Raw genomic sequence first — 18,955 nt, 5'->3', positions numbered from 1 at the left:
GTGGGCCACACAGGGAATTTTACATTTCCTAGTAGTCACCTTTTAAAAGTAAAAAGAAACAGTTGAAATTAATTTTAATAATATATGTTTCTGTAATTCATCATATCCAAAATGTTATTTCAATATGTATTCTATGTAAAAAATTATTGAGCTTTTTAAAACTCTTTCCTTTTCTTACTATGTCCTCAAAATCTGGTGGCTATTTTGTACTTGCCACACATGTCAATTCGCCCTAGCCTCATTCCAAGTGCCCAGGAGCCACTGGAGGTGAGTGACTTCCATTTTGGACAGTGCAACTCTATAGGAAAAAAGCCAACTCCGTACACAGAGCAAAGCATTTCAGCCAAGTTTCCTAACTGATAGAGTGGAGCAGTGACCACTGCTTACTGGTGAAATCCAAACCCCTTGGCCTGGTTTTGTTTGTTTGTTTTTGTTTTTGTTTTTCTTTTTGTTTTGAGATGGAGTCTCGCTCTGTCACCAGGCTGAAGTGCAGTGGCACGATCTCAGCTCACTGCAATCTCCACCTCCCAGGTTCAAGCCATTCTCCTGCCTCAGCCTCCCGAGTAGCTGGGACTACAGGCGCCTGCCACCACACCCAGCTAATTTTTGTATTTTTAGTAGAGACGGGGTTTCACCATGTTGGCCAGAATGGTCTTGATCTCCTGACCTCGTGGTCCGCCAGCCTCGGCCTCCCAACGTGCTGGGATTACAGACGTGAGCCACTGCGCCCGGCCTCCCCTTGGCCTGGTGTTAAAGCTACATTCTCCTTGTTTCCCACAGACCCCCTCCAAGCCCTCCCGCAGCCGTCCACACTGGTCTACCAAGGAGCCTTCAGCTTTCTCTGGAGACTCATTAGGAGGTCCACTTCTCTCATGTTCCCACTGGAGAGTTTGTGCTCCCATCTCCCTGGCTGCTTTTCCCATCTCGAAAGGTCCGTGTCTCCTCTCAGCTCCTCCAGAAATACCACCCTGCCCACCAGCCCCAGGGTTGCCTTCCTCCTCTGAGCTCTGAGAACTCCCTTCTCTCCCACTCCTTTGGCACCTGGCAGTGGCTACCTTGAGCTGTCTCTTCACACTGGCCGCCCCCACCAGGCTGGGCTTCGTGTCTTTGCTGTATCTGGATCCCCACGCACCTGGCTTGGTGCTGGCACCCAGTAAATACCTGCTTGTCTGACAGATTGTTGTGGGGAGTGAGGGAAGCTCCGTGGCTCGAAGGGGCTGCGGGTTTGAGGCTGGTTGAAGGCAGACTGGTTTGAAACGGAACGGGAAAGAGAATGGCAAGTGGGGCCAAGTAGGCTCTGGGTTTTGATGCTGTGGCATGGGAGGGCCAGGTCAGGCAGAGCTGGCCAGTACCCTCCCGGGTGGGCCCTGGTGGAGCCTCCCCCACTGCCATGAACGTGCAGCTGCCTGCCTCGCAGCAGCCCCTCCTGCCATGAGAGTACCCACTCTGTCCAAGGGGCCTTCAGGTTTCTCTGGAGCCTCATTAGGAGGAGCACCAACCGCCCCAGCCTGGGGAGGTTTCTACCATCCTACAACCTGTGCCCTCCAGCAGACGCACTGGGAAGTGAAAGCAGATGCCTTCTCTCCGGGGTGGCAGCCAGAGGAAGGTGGGCACAGGTACCTGGCTGTCTGTAACATTCTAGGCAATTTCTACCTGCAAGGTCCTTTGACTTCCCTTCTGGGAGGCTGTGCTTCTTCCCTCCACCATCTCCATCCCCAGAGTGGTTCTTGGTCTCAGCACCCTGCTGAGAAGGGAACTGGAAGTGGAAACATCCACCTTGCCCCCTGGGGCCTCTCCTCAGCCCTAAATCATGTAGGGTCTGTAACAGTACCAGGCAGCAGCTGCTCTGTTTGGTCCCTAAGATCCAAGGAGTGAAACTCCCAGGATAGTATATCTGGGTCCATGACAAATCAACGATCAGTGATGTCTGAAAAACAGACATCCCAAATACCCCATTAATAGACAACCTGCAATTTTCCCTGTTAGAGTTACTCCTTCAAGTTAAAAAATAATCTCCAGATGTCACTGATTACATTATGCATTTGTCATATTTCCCCAGGCTAAAATGACATCAGTTGAAAGACCCATTATGAGCTAAATAATATTTTTAGGGAGTAGGGAGAAAGAAGGGTCTCCCAGAAACAAACAAACACCACATTAAATAAACACATCAATGGTAAGACACACATTCATTTCAGAAGAAAAATGTGCATCTTAGAATTCTGGAGTTGATAAGGACAGTGAGCACACCTGAGAATTGGCCAGGAGCTGTACCATAAAGCAGGGGGTGGGGGCCTGAGTGAGGTGGGTCCAGGGCTGAGGATAGCCCTGCACAGCTGGGACAGGGGGAACCCACAGGTGCTGGGCTCGCCTGACGCCCACCTGGCACACATGGTACACACTATAGGTGACCCACAAATGCCTGGGGACTGCTGGCTGCTGGATAGTGGGTGGATAGGAGGACAGAAGAACCCATAGGGGAGGGAAAGGAAAGGGAGAAGCAGAGATCAGTGGGGAAGGTGGGTGGGGATAACAGTGACAAGGTCCCCGAGTCTCTAAAAGGCTCACTGCCTTGCCTGGGACACTCATCTGATAAGTAACAAAGTAGAAATTTGAAGCAAGGTGTTTCCTGAAAGCCAAATGTGGACGGGCAGAAGGGAACAGAGCCCAGGGAGTCAGGAAGCTTGATGAAATATGGTAGCAGTGAGAGAGTGCTGTGGTCTGAATGTTGGTGTCACCCCAAAGTCATATGTTCAAATCCTAACCGCCAAGGTGATGGATTTAGGAGGCAGGGCCTTTGGGAGGTGATTAGATAGTGGGGATAAAACCCAATGAATAGGATTATTGCCCTTATAAAAGAGGCCCCAAAGAGCCGGCTTGCTGCTTCCACCAGTGAGAACACAGAGGGAAGGAACCATCTATGAGGAGGCGGACCCTTACCAGACACCAAATCTCCCAACACCTTGATCTTGGACTGCCCAGCCTCCAGAACTGTGATTAGTGCATTTCTGTTGTTCATAAGCTCCCAGCCTATGGCCTTCTGTTAGAGCATCCAAAACAGACTAAGACGGGGGGCCTCCCAGGGAGGAGGACAGTGCAGAAATAGGGCCAGGACACCAAGAGGACACACTGGGTGCAGTCAGGAGGCTCCTCTGGCCAGCAGATGAGGGGAGTGGAATGAGGGCTGAGCCTGGGCAGGAGCAAAGAGCCAGGCCAAGAAGTCAGATGCCAGGGACCGTGGAAGGCAGCAAGGCTTCTTCAGGGAAGACTGACTCCCGAGCTGGAGGTCCTGATGCTCCAGCCCCAGGACTTGCTCTGGAGGAAAGTGGAGTTTCATCCTCAAGACTCCAGGGCTGAGAGGCACTGCCTTCCAGTCCTCCAAGGAAAAGGGGGCTGAAAGAGGGGAAGAACAGGCAGCCTGAAAGGCCCCACAGGGCACCTGACATCTCTACCTGGCCTGCCACCCACCCGGGGCTACCCCAGGGATGATGGCCTTCTGCTGGTGGGCAATTCAAGCACAGGTCTGCCCAGGGTCCCTGTTGCAGGCCTGCCAGCTGACCAGAGCCAGCTCTGCCTGCTCCAGGGATGTGGGATCCTGGGAGAGTAGGATGGGATCCAAACCCTCCCAGGCTTCTCTGGGGTTCCCCGGAAGCCCGAGTTCCCGCCTCCTCAGGCCAGCTCTCAGGTGTCAGGTTTCCCGCTGTGCTCAGCTACTGAGCCAGCCTCACTCTTCCCCAGTGTTGGGGCAGAACAGGGAGGGGACACTGGAGGCAGGGCCCTGATGGTCAGAAAGGAGGGGAAGGCCCGAGACTCCCTCTCCAAAGGCACCAGGGAGGGGCAGGGAGAAAGAAGACAGGACAGCCGGCCACAGGGCTGGAGAGGCTCAGCCTCAAGAGCCGGGGTTCAGCGCTGGCTCCTTTTTGAAAAGCCCACACAAGCAGCAAAGAAAGCCAGCCTTTTGAAAAGCAGGTCTCTGCCCACAGAGGCCAGTGAGGAAGGCATCACTACCAAGAAGTCTTCAAAGCCAGGCAGAGTCACCCGGTGTAAGGTCTCTGTCCCAAAGGCCAGGGCACTTCCCCTCACAGTCAGACCTGGACAGCCCCATGGACTTCTCCAGGCCCTAGTTTCCTGGACTTGTGACCTGCAGTGATGCTGCTGATCCCACACACCTGCTGAAATCTCTTTGCTGGCAGGGGCCTCAAATAGCTTCTGACCAGGCCTCTCATCTTATTCACGGGGAGGCTAAGTAGAAAGTAGAAAGCGCCAGGAAGATGTTTGTGTTCAGTGTTGTACCGCCGCCAGGGTCCTAGAGCTGGACAGAGCAGACCTGAGATGGGCACATCAGAGCTGTGATGTGACACCCAGCATTTGAAGTGGGCTGGAACCAGGGAGAAACAAGGACCAGCGCTGACCTTCGAAATCCCTCTTCCAAATAAATGGCTGCCACGTTAACTTTCCTAAAGCACAGTTCTAAGCATTCCATTCCCTGCCCAAATCCCCCTCCCAGCCTTGCTCTCTCTCACTGCTGTATCTGACCTTCCTCATCTCTCCCAGACCCCCAGGGGCCTTGCCTGCCTCTGGGCCCTCGACAGCCATTCTCTGCCCTCTGGCACTGCCACCCTGCTTTGCCAGACCATTGCATCCTGTCCAACCCTGACTACCCTGGGCAGATGTTAACTCCCTTGGGAGCCCTCCAAGACCTTCCCAGGTGGATGAAATTCTCCTCTCCATCTGATTTGTGGCATTTAGGCCATTATACTTGGCATTTTGTTTGTGTATGAATTTTATCTCCAATAAAGTTGCGAAGTGAGTGTTTTCGGAGGAGGTACCATGCAGTAAATGCCCTTTGTTCTTAGAAGGGAATATTCTTAGAGATATTCTGAGACAGGAGGATAATGAGATACTGGATAAAAGAGGAAAAGAAAGAGGGAAGGACATGGAGAGAGGACAGTGAAGAAGGAGGAACGAGGGAAAGGAGGAAGAAAGAGTTCTTTATTTTAGAACAGGTAAGGATGAAGTTATTAGCTAGTAAAGAAGCATAGTTCTTCATGGAATCCTCCAATATCCTAGCTAAATGAAGTGCAGAGATCACACAGCCTTCATTCTACAGATGAAGATCTGGAGGCCAGGAAATCTGGGGTGGCATGTCTGAGGGCTCTAGAGTAGTCATGGCCAAGTTGGGGCTGGCATCCAGGCCTCCTGAGTCCCAGTGCTGCAGTGTGATCCCCCTGCTCTGCCACATCAGTGTCACGGCCTTCCAGCACATGGGTCCTCATACAACCATACACGTCTCCACGTGGTATGCCCAGAGAGGAACCCACCTGCCTGGTGGCTTGCCGAATGGAAATAACATGCCATGGTCCTGGTGGTACCACCTCTTCTCCCCATCCCTCTCTCTCTCCTGAGTTCCCCTAGGAGTAAGCCTGTTCCTGCCTATGACAGTAACCAAGAAACAAAGCACTAGCTCCTGGCCTCCATGGGGAATAGGCTTGAATCTCTTCTTTGGGAGATGCTGAGGAATGGCTGAGGTGAGCACAACTGCTCAGGCACAGTGCAGTTTGCCTTGGCCAATAGCCCCAGGCCTCCTCCCTAGACTAAGGAAATGCCAAGGACAAGCCCTGCCTCTGTAGAGCAGGCCAAATGTTTCCAGGCCCTTGGGTGCTTCTGTAGCAAGACAAATCCCAGGGCCTTTGGACATCCCCCAAAGGAAAGGCTTTAGGGCTTGCATTTCACAGGGTTTAACTGATGGAAAGGTTGAAGGAAACTCCTGGGTACTGGAACTGATTTTGGGAAACTCATATTAAAATGGACATTGATAAACTGGACTCTGATGATGGACAGCAGGGTTGTGAAGGGACTTGAGTAATCTGACACTAGGAACAGTTGGAGAATCTGGGCATGAGCAGGGAAGAGGAAACTCTGGGTCAGGTAATAGCTGCAGTCAAAGGCTAAAGGTCTTTCCAGTAGGCGGATTTGAGTCAACATAAGGAAGACATTTCTCAGAATTTATTTTGTCTCCCAAAGTTCCTTATCACTGCAGATGTCCATGCAGAGGCCCACTAACTGCTCAGAAGAGGAGTGTGAACACCAGCAAAGGGCGGGGGTGTGACCTGGAGTACTTCCAGGGCCCTTTTTGGCCCACCAGGAGATGATGCAAATTCCCTGCAACATCTACCCTCCTTTTGGCCTGATCATAGTTAAAGTTGCCAAACTGGACAGTCACCATCTGTGAAGGCACAGAGAGCTGGACCTCGGTCGGGGGGAAGAAGCATGGCAGTAAGGAGAGAGCAAGTCTTGGGTCCTCAGGGAGCAAGCCGGTGGGGCTGCGCCCAGGTGGAGGGAGATGTAGTCCAGAGGAGGCCCATGTCCAAAGACAGACTTCACGTTCTACTCAACATGGCCCCCAGGGAGCCTCCTCTCCCCTCTGCATGGATACAGCTCAGAATCTTGTTTCCTGTATCTTCTGAGTCTCTCAATGGCCCACACTGACTTTTCTAGCCTGGGAGAAATTCGGATTTCATGCAACTAGGTAATGCACCCTTTGTGAGTCATTCAGAGGCAGGGTGCTTGGGAAAGTGATACAGGAAAAATGAGGGTGTGGGGAAATTGTGGGGAACCTTGAACGGCAGAACTGAGAGTCTGGGGTACACTACATAAGCTAACTACTTGACTACACACCAGATAAATCAGAGATGAAGAAAACGAAAGTGGGCCATCTGCCCAGAACCCAGCTTCAAAGGCCATTCTTTCCGGGTTCCTTATGTACTCCAGGTGTATCAGTTTAACCTCTTTTGCTCCAGTCTCATCAACCCCAAGAGGCCTATTGCTTGGCTTAGCCCCCAGGGCTGCCATGGGTCTGCTTTCCTCCCTCTCTATCTATTGGTTCCCAGTCCAATGGAGTATGCCAAGGGCCTAGAAAGAAAGTGATATGCCCAAAGGGATCCTTTACAGCCAAGAGCAGCTTTGTGATGCTTCCCCAGGGCCAGGCTTTGATCTCTAATGAAAAGCTCAGCTTCTTCCAAGGAACTGAATTCCTGCTCTCAAAACACTGATGGGAGGGGACTTTGCATCCTAAGGAACCCTACTTGCCCATGGGTATGAGACAATTAAGCAGCAAGCTTCCAACAAGCAGCAAAGGGCCAGTATTTAGCTCCAGTTGCCATCATGGACCAGGAGTAAGGGAAAGAAGCCTAGAAGATTTGGTTAGAGACAGGATACAATTACAGAAGAAAACCTCTGTGCATAATGGGACAATATTCTGGGCATGATCCATCCAAGAAGATACTTTCCCCATCTAAACCAACAAAGTGTATGGACACATTCCTGCCACAATCCTAACAAGGCATTTTGTGGAAGGCATATGTGGTCAGAAGACTGTACACTCCATGAAGGCAGAGCCTAGGTCTGTCTCATTCACCTTTACCCCTACTGCCTGGCACAGATCCTAATACACAGTAAGAACTCACTGAATGAATGAATGAATGAATGAATGAATGATCACGAACAGGTGAGCATGGAGGAAGCATCATCTTGCCAAAAACCTTGGTCATGTGCAAGCAGCTGCCTCTCAGCATTTTAAAACTGCATGGAATTTGATGGTGTCAGAGGGAGAAACAAAACTAAAGCAGATAAAGTGCAAGGTAGAAAGACTAGCTTTGAAGAATTACAGACAGAAAGACTGGGAATTCTTTGCAATGAGTATAGGGGCCCAGTTGCAGGTCCAGCATGAACTGAGGAGACCCAGGACGGAGGTGGTCAGTGTGCATCACAATCAACTAACAGAAGAAGAAGCAATTTCAGACCCAAAACAGAAGTCCTCATCCTGCCATTCCTGGCCAGGGAAGGAGGGGTCTGCACTGTGGATGGCATTGGGTGGCTTTTGCAAACCATGTAGAGTTCGTCTTAGGTCATGAGTTCAGATATTCTCCTACTATTATATTTTTAACAAAGACTCAAGTAAATTAAAAGCAGAAAAGCAAATCTCCAAACCCCAATAACTTTCTTTCTTTTTTTTTTTAAGATGGAGTCCTGCTCTTGTTGCCCAGGCTAGAGTACAATGATGCGATCTAGGCTCACTGCAACCTCCACCTCCTGGGTTCAAGCAATTCTCCTGCCTCAGCCTCCTGAGTAACTGGGATTACAGGCACACACCACCACACCTGGCTAATTTTTGTATTTTTAGTAGAGATGGGGTTTCACCATGTTGGCCAGGCTGGTCTCGAACTCCTGAACTCAGGTGATCCACCCTCCTCAGCCTCCCAAAGTGCTGAGATTACAGGCGTGAGCCACCGCATCTGGCCCAAACCCCAATAACTTTCAAGACATGCTAGGGTGGCTACCTGGACCACGTTAGCATTGTCTGGTGCCAAAAGGAGGGGACCCAGTTCAGAAAGCCACTTCGATGGGGCCCCTTCCTATTGAGGTGTGCAGAACACACAGTATGCTTACACAAGCCCGGCCCTGTGAATACGGTGGACAGGACAGAGAGTAGCTTTATTCCTCTGCCTCCCATTTCTCCTGGGAGAATTGTTTCGTCTGATGCCCCTTTCTCCTGTGCCCTCCTCTGTTCTGCCCCAAGCCTGGCTCCCGAAGCCATCCATTCTGATGTGTGATGATGGGGAAGAGTTTAGAAGAAGAGCTTGGACCATGGCTTTTCTCAGGAGTGGTTACGTTTTAAGGAGCTGGTGCTATGAAGTTCTAATGGTGGGATTTCAGACAGCAGCCGGTGAGTGGAGGCGCCATGGGAGTTGACCTCCACACGCCCCTGAAATCAGATCACATCAGTGAGTGGATATCTGCTTGCTTTCAGAGGGAGCCAGGGTCAGTAAAATTAGATTCCCAACCATCACTGCTCATGGGGCAGCCCTGTCTAGCACTCTGGGGTATTGGGGAGGGGAGGTGTGCATGAGAGAAAAAGAGACGGTGGACGTCAGTGGAAATACATGAGAAAGGAAGACAGGAAAGAAAGAAGGTTAGAGGAGAGCAGGGGAAGAGAGATAACAAAAGGATGCAAAGAGGAAGGGGGGAGGGAGGAGATGCCTGGGAAAGGCAGAGCTATAGGCTTCTTGGAGCTGCCAGATCCCATATGCCTAACAAGCAGCAGAGGCCTGTCCGTCTCCAGTTACCTCGAGGGGCTCCATCAGCCCCTTGGCTGCCCCTGCCTTGTGACTGCCCTGCCTCCCACCCCTGTTGGCCTTCCCCAGGTAGGCCTGGTCCAGCTGTGCGCTGCCCACTCCGCTCATTGCTTAATATCATGCAGTTATTTCAAGCCAGCAGCCCTTTGACCCGGTCACTCCAGCTAGACCCAAAAGGCCCCTCAGGCCGAGATTGTGCCTGCTCCCCTAGAGGAGAGTCCCGGCAGGCTCTCAGGGGAGTGACTTGGGTACCCACTTCCTGTCTCTGGACTTCAGCTTTCCAATCTGCAAAACAAGCATGTTGTGTCTTGCTTGCCCACCTAGCAGGGGGAATGCTATGAAGTTCCCCCACCTCCTCCCCCATTGAAAGTGTCTTACAAAGTATAGAGGCTTTTCACCCTCCCTGAGGTCTGGCCTAGGGCTGGCTACGGAGGATGGCTCAATGATTTCCTTGAACTGGACATATTCCCAAACTCTGAGAGCACCTGCACCTCCCAAGTCCCCCTCTTCCCATCAAGCTCCAGTGCCGTCTGTAGTAAAATACCAGGCAGGGGAGAGTAGCAAGGGCACCCAGCAACAGGCCACCCAAGGGCAGCCTGTCAACAGAAGCACCCTGGCTGACAGCCTACTTCTGGGGTGAACTCGGGGACATCAGAAAGACTCATGGTCCAGTAATAGCGTTCCCACTAGAGCCAAAAATTCTCCAGGAGGGAATCATTGCTTTGGATTAAGCATTGCTCTCTCTCTCACTTTTACTTTCAATGTGCAAATGCCCAAAAGAGGGCAACACATTAACTCGCTATTGTTTCCTAGTGTGGATGAACTTGCAAGATTTTCTGTCTGTCCAGAGAGAATGGAAAACCACGGAGGTGCTGAATGACTTGGCAAGACTGAGACAGAAAAACTAACTTTCTCCCCTTCACAGTCCTGCCCTCACAGCCCAGAGCATGGATATAGCCAGTTGATAGCTCTTTTCTGGGTCTGTAACTATCTTTCCACATAATTGTATTTGATTCAGAATTTGACTTATTCAATCATCAAATATTTATTGCATGCCTTCTACATGTGAGACATTGTTCTAGGTGCTAGGGAAGCAGCCGTGATGAAGCAGTTAAAAATCCTTGCCATTGTGGAACTGCAATCTAGTTCTGTCCTGTCCTGTATGGTTACCAAATGTGAAATATGGCTAGTTCAAATTCACATGTGCTGTCATATGTAAAACAGACACAAGACATCAGAGACTTAGTGCAAACAAAATAATGTAAAAAATTAGTAACTTTTAAAATTAATTAAATACTGATAATATTTTGGATGTAGTTAATTAAATAATGTATATTATTACAATTGATTTCCCATTTTCACCTTTTTTTTGGAGACAGTGTCTTGCCCTGTCACTCAGGCTGGAGTGCAATGGCATAATCATGGTTCACTGCAGCTTCTGTCTCCTGGGCTCAAGCGATCCTCCCATCTCAGCCTCCTAAGTAGCTGGGACTATGGGCATGTGCGACCACACAAAGCTAATTTTTTTATTTTTTATTTTTTGTAGAGATAGGGGTCTCACTATGTTGCCCAGGCTGGTCTCAACCTGCTGGCCTCAGGTGACCCTCCTGCCTTCAAGTGCTAAGATTATAGGCATAAGCAACCACACTTAGCCTGTTTTCACTTTTTTAATGTGGCTGCTAGAAAAAAATAAATTATATATGTGTCTTACATTATACTTTTTTTTTTTAAGAGTCTTGCTCTGTTGCTCAGGCTGGAGTGCAGTGGTGTGATCTTGGCTCACTGCAACCTCCACCTCCCAGGTTCAAGCGATTCTCCCACCTCAGCCTCCCGAGTAGCTGGGATTACAGGCGCCTGCCACCAAGCCCAGCTAATTTTTGTATTTTTAGTAGAGACGGGGTTTCACCATGTTGGCCAGGCTGGTCTCAAACTCCTGACCTCAGGTGATCCACCTGCCTCGGCCTCTCAAAGTGCTGGGATTTACAGGCGTGAGCCACCGCTCCCGGCCTTATGTTATACTTCTATTGGACAGCACTGGCCTATCCAATAAGTAGATATATAAGAAAATATGTCATGTATTGATGATGACAGAGCTATGGAAAAAATGAAGCAGGAAGAAGAAAAGGTTGGGGGGGTTCCATTTTAAATATGACTGCCAAGAGAACCTTCACTGAGAAGATAACTATTGTGTAAAGAGCTGAAGAAGGTGAGGACTGAACTGGCAGATATCCAGGCAAAGTGCTTTCTGGGCAGACAGAACTGCACACGCAAAGGCCCTGTGGTGAGGGCAAGCCTGAATTTTGAGAAACTTCGGGAGGCTTGAGTGGTAGGAGTTTAGGTGATACTGATCTTGGGGGCTGGGGAGACAGATGGTGCAGGACCTCACTGGTCATTACAGGATGTTGCCTTTGACTCTGAGGAGGGTATCTGAGCAGAGAAGTGACAGGTCTTGACTCTCTGGCTGCTGAATAGAATAGGCTGCAGAAGGCAAAGGTAAGAAGCAGGAACCAGGGAAGAGATGATGGTTTCTTGGACTAGGGTGGCAATCGGGGGAAGGTGAAAGGAATGGTCAGATCCAAAATATATTTCATTTCAAGGGTACAGGTGACAAGATTTGTTCATGGATTGGATGTAAAACCTGAGAGACAGAGGACAAGATAGACTCCATATCTTGCTTGCTAAGCAACTAGAAGATTGGTGTGGCTGATAGTTTGCAAAAATGGCCTCAATTTCTCCCCTCCTTGTATGCTTACCCTCCCATACAAGCTCCTCCCATTAAAGGCAGAGTCTACTTTCCCACCCCTTGCCTCTGGGCATGGCCACGTGACTGGCTTAGGCCAATAGAAGGTAGCAGAAGTGACATCATGCCAATTCTGAGCCCAGGCCTCAAGAGACCTTGCAGTTTCCACTCTCTCTTGGTCTCCTGCCTCTACCATAAGAACAAGCCCAGGCTAACCTGCTGGAGAATGACAGACCATGTGATATACAAATAAACTGTCCTAGACCCATCTGTCCCAGCTGACTGCAGCAATGTGAGTGAGCCCAAGAAGACCAAAAGGACTTCCCAGCTGAGCCCAACCCAAATTACCAACCCACTGACTTGTGAGCTGCATAAAAGGTTGTTGTTTTAAGGCCAAATTTTGGAGTGATTGTTATACAGAAAAAGCTAACTGATACAAATGGCGTTGTCGTTTATTGAGGTGGGGACTCAATTTTGAGTTGTGCTCTCAATGTTCTGAATGTGAATCTGAATGCTTAAAGAGAAAAGTCCCTGTATTGTCTCCATGCAACACCCAGAGCACCCTCAGGACAGGGCTGGATGCAATCTGGGTGCTTGGCGGATGCTTACGGATGGAGGGAGGGAAGGATGGATGATGACTTCTTCATTGGCTTCCTTATCATGAGCCAGGTTTCTGTGTCACCCTTCTCCTCACAAAGCCAGAAGAGCTTTAAATGCCTCCTCCCTCCATGCCCACTGCTGTCTCAAGAGTTTATAGTTGAGCTTTGACTTCCTAGAGCTTTCCTGCAGATCCGTGTGTTTCCTTGAGAATGCAAAGCACTGATTTTTAGCCTTGATTTTGACCTCCCACACCCAGCCTTTTCCCAGATGTGCTGGCAAATAGACAAATCAATTGTTTTGAGTTTTTCTTCCTCTCCACCCCCATGACATGTTAATTAGCCATGAAAATGCCAGCAGCAAAGTCAGGAAGGCTGAGGACAAACCCCAGCCCTGAGTGGCCAGCTGGTGCAGCACTGGGTGTCCAAATTGGTTTCCATTTTCAAGGCTTCAGGCACTGTTTTCTGCCTCCCTGCTTACCTCTCCTCCCACCTGGCACTCCAGGTCCCTCGTGAACTCTGCTTCAGTCCCTCTGTGATGATCCCAGTCATATCAGCATATCACTTTACCTGTCACAAAGCTTTTCCCAAATTCAGCCCTACAACCATCCAGTGCAATGAATTATGGGCATTATTCCCATTATTCCCATTTTAGAGATGAAGAAACTGAGGCTCAAGGGTTAGAAAGACTTGCTCAGCATCACTTGGCCCAGGTTGGGAATCTGGAGCCTGTTTGATTCCAAGCCCGTCTTTCACTCTCAGCACCACCAAAACACGTTCTCAATAAAGGGCCTAGTGCACCAGGGAGGGGGCTCCTTCAGCAACTTTTTTATTTTTATTTATTTTTTTATTTTTTTTATTTTTTTTGAGACAGATCCTTGTTCTGTCGCCCAGGCTGGAGTACAGTGGCACGATCTCGGCTCACTGCAAGCTCTACCTCCCAGGTCCACGCCATTCTTCTGCCTCAGCCTCCCGAGTAGCTGGGACTATAGGCGCCCACCACTGCCTATAAATATAAAAAATTTTTTGTATTTTTAGTAGAGATGGGGTTTCACCGTGTTAGCCAGGGTGGTCTCCATCTCCTGACCTCGTGATCCGCCCACCTCGGCCTCCCAAAGTGTTGGGATTACAGGTGTGAACCACTGTGCCTCGCCTTCCTTCAGCAACTTACTGGTAAGGTCACTGCCTTGGGGCTCACGTGGGTATTCACATTTCGATGAGTGTCAGTCAAACTCTGGCAGAGGTCATGTAGGCCTGGGGAGGGGACACTCTGGACTGACACAGGGACTCCACCAGGCCCTGAAACTGCAGCAGCGCACAGGCTGACTTGGCTTCTGCTCCCTCCCCTGCCCATTTCCTGGGCTTTGGCTCCAGATGTTATCTGAAGCCGATGGAGTGTCCATGAGCTGAGAATAAAGGCCCAGCAGGACTGCGGCTTAGCTCAGCCCCTACTCCCTCACACATCCTCCTGCAGCCCTGGGTGGAAGTGCACGCTCCCCATTCACAAGGCTGTGATGACACAAAATGAAAATGTTTCCTAGGGGTGAAATGGCTCCCAATGAATCTAACACGGCCACTCATATGGCCTTTCCCAGAGGCCTCTGCAACCTGCCCTCCGCACTGGGGCAAAGGAGGACCTGAGGACCAGGATTCCACGTGCTGTGTTTGCCCTTCTGGAGTCTCAAGGCTGTGTGTATGTGCATGTGTCTGTGAGCGTGCATCTGTGTATGTGTGTATTGTGTGGTACGTGGCATGATCATGAATGTATAAGCATGTGTGTGTGCATGGTGTAGGTATGGATATGGGCATGTGCGAGCATGTGTCTGTGGGATTTGTGTGAACGTGTTCATGTGCAGGTATATGTCTATTCATGGATATGTGCATGTACATGCATGTTGTGGCACCTGTGATGTGTGTGTGTGTACATGTATGTCTGCACGTGTGTGTGTGCACACACAGAGAGCAGCTGTGGTCTGAGTCTCCACAACCTGCCCCATGGCCTGCTGGGGTTAGTCAGGTCTGCCTGTAAGCAGCACCTACACAGAGCCCTGGTTTGGAAGGCTAATGATTTTTTATAAACATCTGCTGTTTACCAACACAGCATAGGGAGATTAAAGCAGTTTCCCTTAAGGAAGAAGACACATCTGCCCAGAGAGTCAGGCAGGTTGTGTTCAGGTCCCGTCTTAATCAGTCACTCACTATGTGGCCTTAGGCAAGCAGCCTGGCCTCTCTGAGCCTCAGCTTCCTGACCTGCAAAATGAGCATAACGATATTGCCATCTCTACCTCCAGAAGGCCGTGGATTCAGATGAGAACTGCTGGGGGATGGTGCCTTGAAAATTGTAGAGCACCCTACACAAATGAGGCCTGGTATTAAGGACATTATAGCAAACATTTCTAAGAGAGGAACCCGAGCATGCTGCATGACTTTGAATTAAATTATGTGGTTTAGATTACAGTGTATGTGCAGAAAAGTAAACATGCAGATGATTCCTGGAAGGATCCATGAGACATAACAACAAGGCTCCCCATGAGGAGAGAACCTGGGCAGCTGGGGCAGGGGGAGGAGTGTTTTTCTCTGTATGTACATCCTTTTGCACCATAGGAATTCTTACCACGTGCATATGTAATGTGCTTTTTAAAACACACAGAGCAGTTTTTAAGAGTAAAATGATTTTTAAATGTGAGTAGAGCAGAATGGAAAAAGCGCTGCTCTCCTGCCCTTTCTCATCTCCCACCCCTTTGCCCTGGGTTCCCAGGGCCTCAAATAACTGTCTCCCACTCCTCTTCCCAAATGTCAGCTCACCTTCTCTCCCCAGGTAAGAGATAAGTAAACTGAGACTCAAAGAAAGTAAACAACTTGCTATCCCGTAGTCCAGGTCGCAGGGCTAATAAGACAAGGCAGATGTGGTTTCCACAGAGCCTGCAGAGCTCTGTAGGACTCCAAACCCAGGGAGCGCTCACCTATCCCACTCAGAACTGACTATAAAGCTCAAGGAAAGCCCTACAAGGCTGTGGGTTTGGGCACGGTGGGACAGGCTAATGCAGATAGATTTGGGGATGGGAGCATCTTCCCAGGGTCCCTGGGACGTCACCACATGGTCCACTTCTGGATAGGGCTGGGCTTGAGCGACGCTGCTTTATAAAACTTGAGGATCAGTACCCTTGGAACGGGTCGGGGCAGGCTGCCTTATTCTAATTCCACTCGAGAGAGAAGAGGACCTGGCAGGGTTCCCAGCTTGCAATGTTTTAACCAAACAATTTTCAAAACCGAGTTCAAGATCTGTCACCCAAAGCAACAAACTTGAACAGAGTGCCACAGAGTTGAGCTCCCCCATCCCCCGGCTAAGGCGGGAAGACTCCTGGAACTCCTCCAGCTTCTCGGAGAGGGGGCTGTGTTGTTTGACGTGCAAGCATCCCTCATTCTTTGCATCCAAAGGCCTCAGGAATTCTGGGGGATTTTGAGGGTCCTAGTCAGGGAGAGAGGGAGGATCTGCTAGTGACCTTGACCAAAGGGCTCCCCTTTGGGCCTCGGTCCTTATCTATAACAAGATATGGTGGCCCCTGGCCCACAGGTGTGCCATCTGAAGCATGAAACGTGGTCACTCCGCGTTGGCTGTTAGCAGCATCTCCGTACCTGCCCGAGGCGGCCTTGTCATTTTCTAAGAGTTGGGAGGGGTGGGGGTAGTCAGGACCACCAGCAATTCCCTTCCGGCCTGACCACATCCTCTGGAGGGAGAGCATTTAACAGCCAGCTACTGGAGTAGGGAGGAGAGAGGAGGTGTGACAAGTGAGAAGAAACTGACCAACCAGGCAGCCTCATCAGCACATGACTGGACATCGGCCTCCCTGATCTCCTCCCACTACCCTGGGCTGCACTCAGTATGAGGCTCATCTCCTAGCAGGACATTTGGCAGGAGGGTGGCTGCTTTCTGCTCTGTTTTCAGAGCCTGACAGGCAGCTGTGAGCTGCTACCAAGGGTCAAGACAGCAGCAGACTGGCAGGGACATGTTTGCCTGCAGGCTTAGTGGTAACCCTCTGGGGCTGCCAGGCAACCAAGAAACCAAGGCTGTGGGTCTGCTTCTGGCCAACTGGGCAACCAGCCCAAACCAGCCCTTGACCCCATGGCCCCAGGAGTCCATCCTTCCCCAAACTGGGACATATGATCATGGCAGGATTTGTGGGCAGTTGCCCAATTTGAGATCTGATTTTGAAGAATGGGGTTGGAAGGACTTAAACCTTGAGGGGAGGGGGCTGTGCTTTGATTCCCAGGGCTGTGAGATGAGCCGTTGTCTCCCGCTGAGCTGAGATCTGCACTTGGGGAAGAGAGGGCATTTAAAAATAGCACCAACTGACTCGAATACCTCTGCTCCCTGCCTGCTGCAAGTCAGATCCAATTACTCTGCTGACAAGAGGCTTTTAGCCCAGGGAGCCTGGCATCATCGACCCCACTCCAGGGAGCTGGGCTCCATGGTGCCCCTGCCCTTCCTCCTCTCACTGGGCATCCACAGGTTCAGGAGAAAGGGACCAGGGAGGTGTAAAGATCACACATACACGGCTCAGCCCCAGGCTGTGATTCCTGCATGTCCAGCTACTTGACTGAATCTGGCTTGCTGGAGTCCCCCTTTTGTTCACATTGGGTGAGCAGCCCCAAGTATCTGACCCATATCTGAGATTCCTTCAGTAGGGCCTCACCCCTTTGGAACATGAAGACTTTTTCAAGGTCCCCAACTAAGATCCAAGTGCCCCTCCCTGGGATGGGCTCTCGTCACAGCTGGGGACAGGAAACTAGTACACATATAGAATATCAACTCCGTGAGGCAGAACCTCAGCTGTCCAGCTCACTGCTGGCACATAGTAGGAACTTACCAAATGTATGTTGAAATGAATCAATCGATAGCAAAGGGGACTTGGTGAGAAAATGCAAATGGCTCCATGCAAATCCTTGCTCAACTGCAAGAGTGAAAATTAATCAGCTGACTCAGAGCATACGTCCTATTCAGGATAGTCACATAGTGTCAGCTCATCTGCAAAGGCCAAGTACAGAGGCCTCTAGGAAATCTCTTTCCTTTCTCCAGCCAATGCCACCATAATTATCTTTCAGCAAACTCACCCAACCCAAAGCTACTTGCCAGTGACCCTATTAAACCAGCAAATGCCAAGAGCTAAGCTCTCTCCTGCAATGCCTCACACTGCCTTCCCCAAGGGGCTGTCGTTTCCTTTCTACCCTGGCTCTCTCCCTTCATTCAACTCTCAAAATTATCAGGTGCTAAGGGAATGCCAACAAAAAGAGCTGTCATTAAGGGGTGCCTGAATCCATCAGGCGTGTCTTACCTGCCTTGTCTATGACACCTGTCACTTTTCACTTTGGGAGGCTCATCTCAGCAACTTCCCCAGAGTGGAGACAGAGCCTTGGGCATCTGCCACCCATGCACAGCCAGCACCTGACACACACTGGTGCCCAGGAGATGTCTGATGAATAAATAATTGGGGGTGAGGCAGGGCCTCCCGTAAACATTACAAAGGCATGTGTAGAGTTTAAGGAGGACTTGCTGACCACTTTCATGAGCCTGGACAATTGAAGAAACGATGCTTAAAGTGAGTTTACCATGCAGCAGCCAAACCAATGAGAACAAGAGGAATGAGTGGCCCTCCTGGTCATGGGGTGTGTTTGCTTCCTTTGTGACAGATTTCCACTTGTTTGTTTGTCAGGGAGGCTCCCCTTCAGCCAGGCCCATGGACAATTATTGGTGATAGATTTGAGTGTTTCTGGGCATGGCTCCAGGTCATAACCAAGATCTAGGTCCTGCCAGCATCTTCCTGGGACGAAATTGACAGCAATTGTCAGAAGGCTTGTTCAGCTTGTTAAGGGTGAGCCTTCAGCTGAGGCTGTCAGTGCAACCCTGGATGGTGAGTTTGCCCCTCAGTCTCACAGCCTAACGGGTTCAGTCCTTCACACAGCTGGCTGGCTGCCTCCTCCTCCACCTTAACTGTGGGAAGCCAGGTGTGTGTACACAGAAGCTGGAATGATGATAGTTGCAGGCACAGCACCAGTAAGACATTGAGCACCTGGAACACATTCTCTGTCTCTAGCTTTCTCTCTCTCTTATTAGGGATAGCTGGAAAGCAGAAAAGCCAAGGTGAGAGGAAGCAGCAGAGCTGAGGTGCAAGAAGCCAAGCTTGGCTAAGCATTTGGGGCCTTAAGAAATGGGATCTGACCAGAGCAGGGCCCTGAGGTCATGTGACCTTAGAAGTGGAAGATGTATTGATCGCTTGATCACCAAGACCTCCCACCCACTACTCCTCACCACATAAGTAAAACAGCAGGGCCCACAGTTGGCAGTAAGATTATAATTTGGTGCAACCTCTAAGGAGAGTGATTTGGCAAGATCATGAAAATCACAAATGCTCAAATCCTGTCTACTGCAATTCCACTTGGCATCTTAAAGACAAAATGCATATAACTCCATGCAGATACACAAACAA

At 50.2% G+C, this 18,955-nt stretch overlaps 1 protein-coding gene across 4 annotated transcripts in view, besides 4 other annotated features; it reads right to left on the bottom strand.

Moving 5' to 3' along the window:
* The window catches only part of ARK2C (arkadia (RNF111) C-terminal like ring finger ubiquitin ligase 2C), a 129,123-nt gene that overhangs the window by 34,278 nt on the left and 75,890 nt on the right, over positions 1-18,955 (bottom strand). The window lies entirely within an intron of this gene.
* Positions 730-1,305: an enhancer, noted in NCBI's record as "H3K4me1 hESC enhancer chr18:44007521-44008096 (GRCh37/hg19 assembly coordinates)". NCBI's record gives its function as "activates a minimal SCP1, AML or CMV promoter by ChIP-STARR-seq in naive H9 embryonic stem cells {active_cell/tissue: H9 hESC(naive)}" and the evidence as "EXISTENCE:reporter gene assay evidence [ECO:0000049][PMID:30033119]".
* Positions 3,133-4,097: an enhancer, noted in NCBI's record as "H3K4me1 hESC enhancer chr18:44004729-44005693 (GRCh37/hg19 assembly coordinates)". NCBI's record gives its function as "activates a minimal SCP1, AML or CMV promoter by ChIP-STARR-seq in naive H9 embryonic stem cells {active_cell/tissue: H9 hESC(naive)}" and the evidence as "EXISTENCE:reporter gene assay evidence [ECO:0000049][PMID:30033119]".
* Positions 13,301-14,249: an enhancer, noted in NCBI's record as "H3K4me1 hESC enhancer chr18:43994577-43995525 (GRCh37/hg19 assembly coordinates)". NCBI's record gives its function as "activates a minimal SCP1, AML or CMV promoter by ChIP-STARR-seq in naive and primed H9 embryonic stem cells {active_cell/tissue: H9 hESC(naive and primed)}" and the evidence as "EXISTENCE:reporter gene assay evidence [ECO:0000049][PMID:30033119]".
* Positions 16,150-17,100: an enhancer, noted in NCBI's record as "H3K4me1 hESC enhancer chr18:43991726-43992676 (GRCh37/hg19 assembly coordinates)". NCBI's record gives its function as "activates a minimal SCP1, AML or CMV promoter by ChIP-STARR-seq in naive H9 embryonic stem cells {active_cell/tissue: H9 hESC(naive)}" and the evidence as "EXISTENCE:reporter gene assay evidence [ECO:0000049][PMID:30033119]".

This window comes from Homo sapiens, chromosome 18 (assembly GCF_000001405.40).
Source record: "Homo sapiens chromosome 18, GRCh38.p14 Primary Assembly".
Classification (NCBI taxonomy): Eukaryota; Metazoa; Chordata; class Mammalia; order Primates; family Hominidae; genus Homo; species Homo sapiens.
This window is presented reverse-complemented; position numbering and strand designations above follow the sequence as displayed.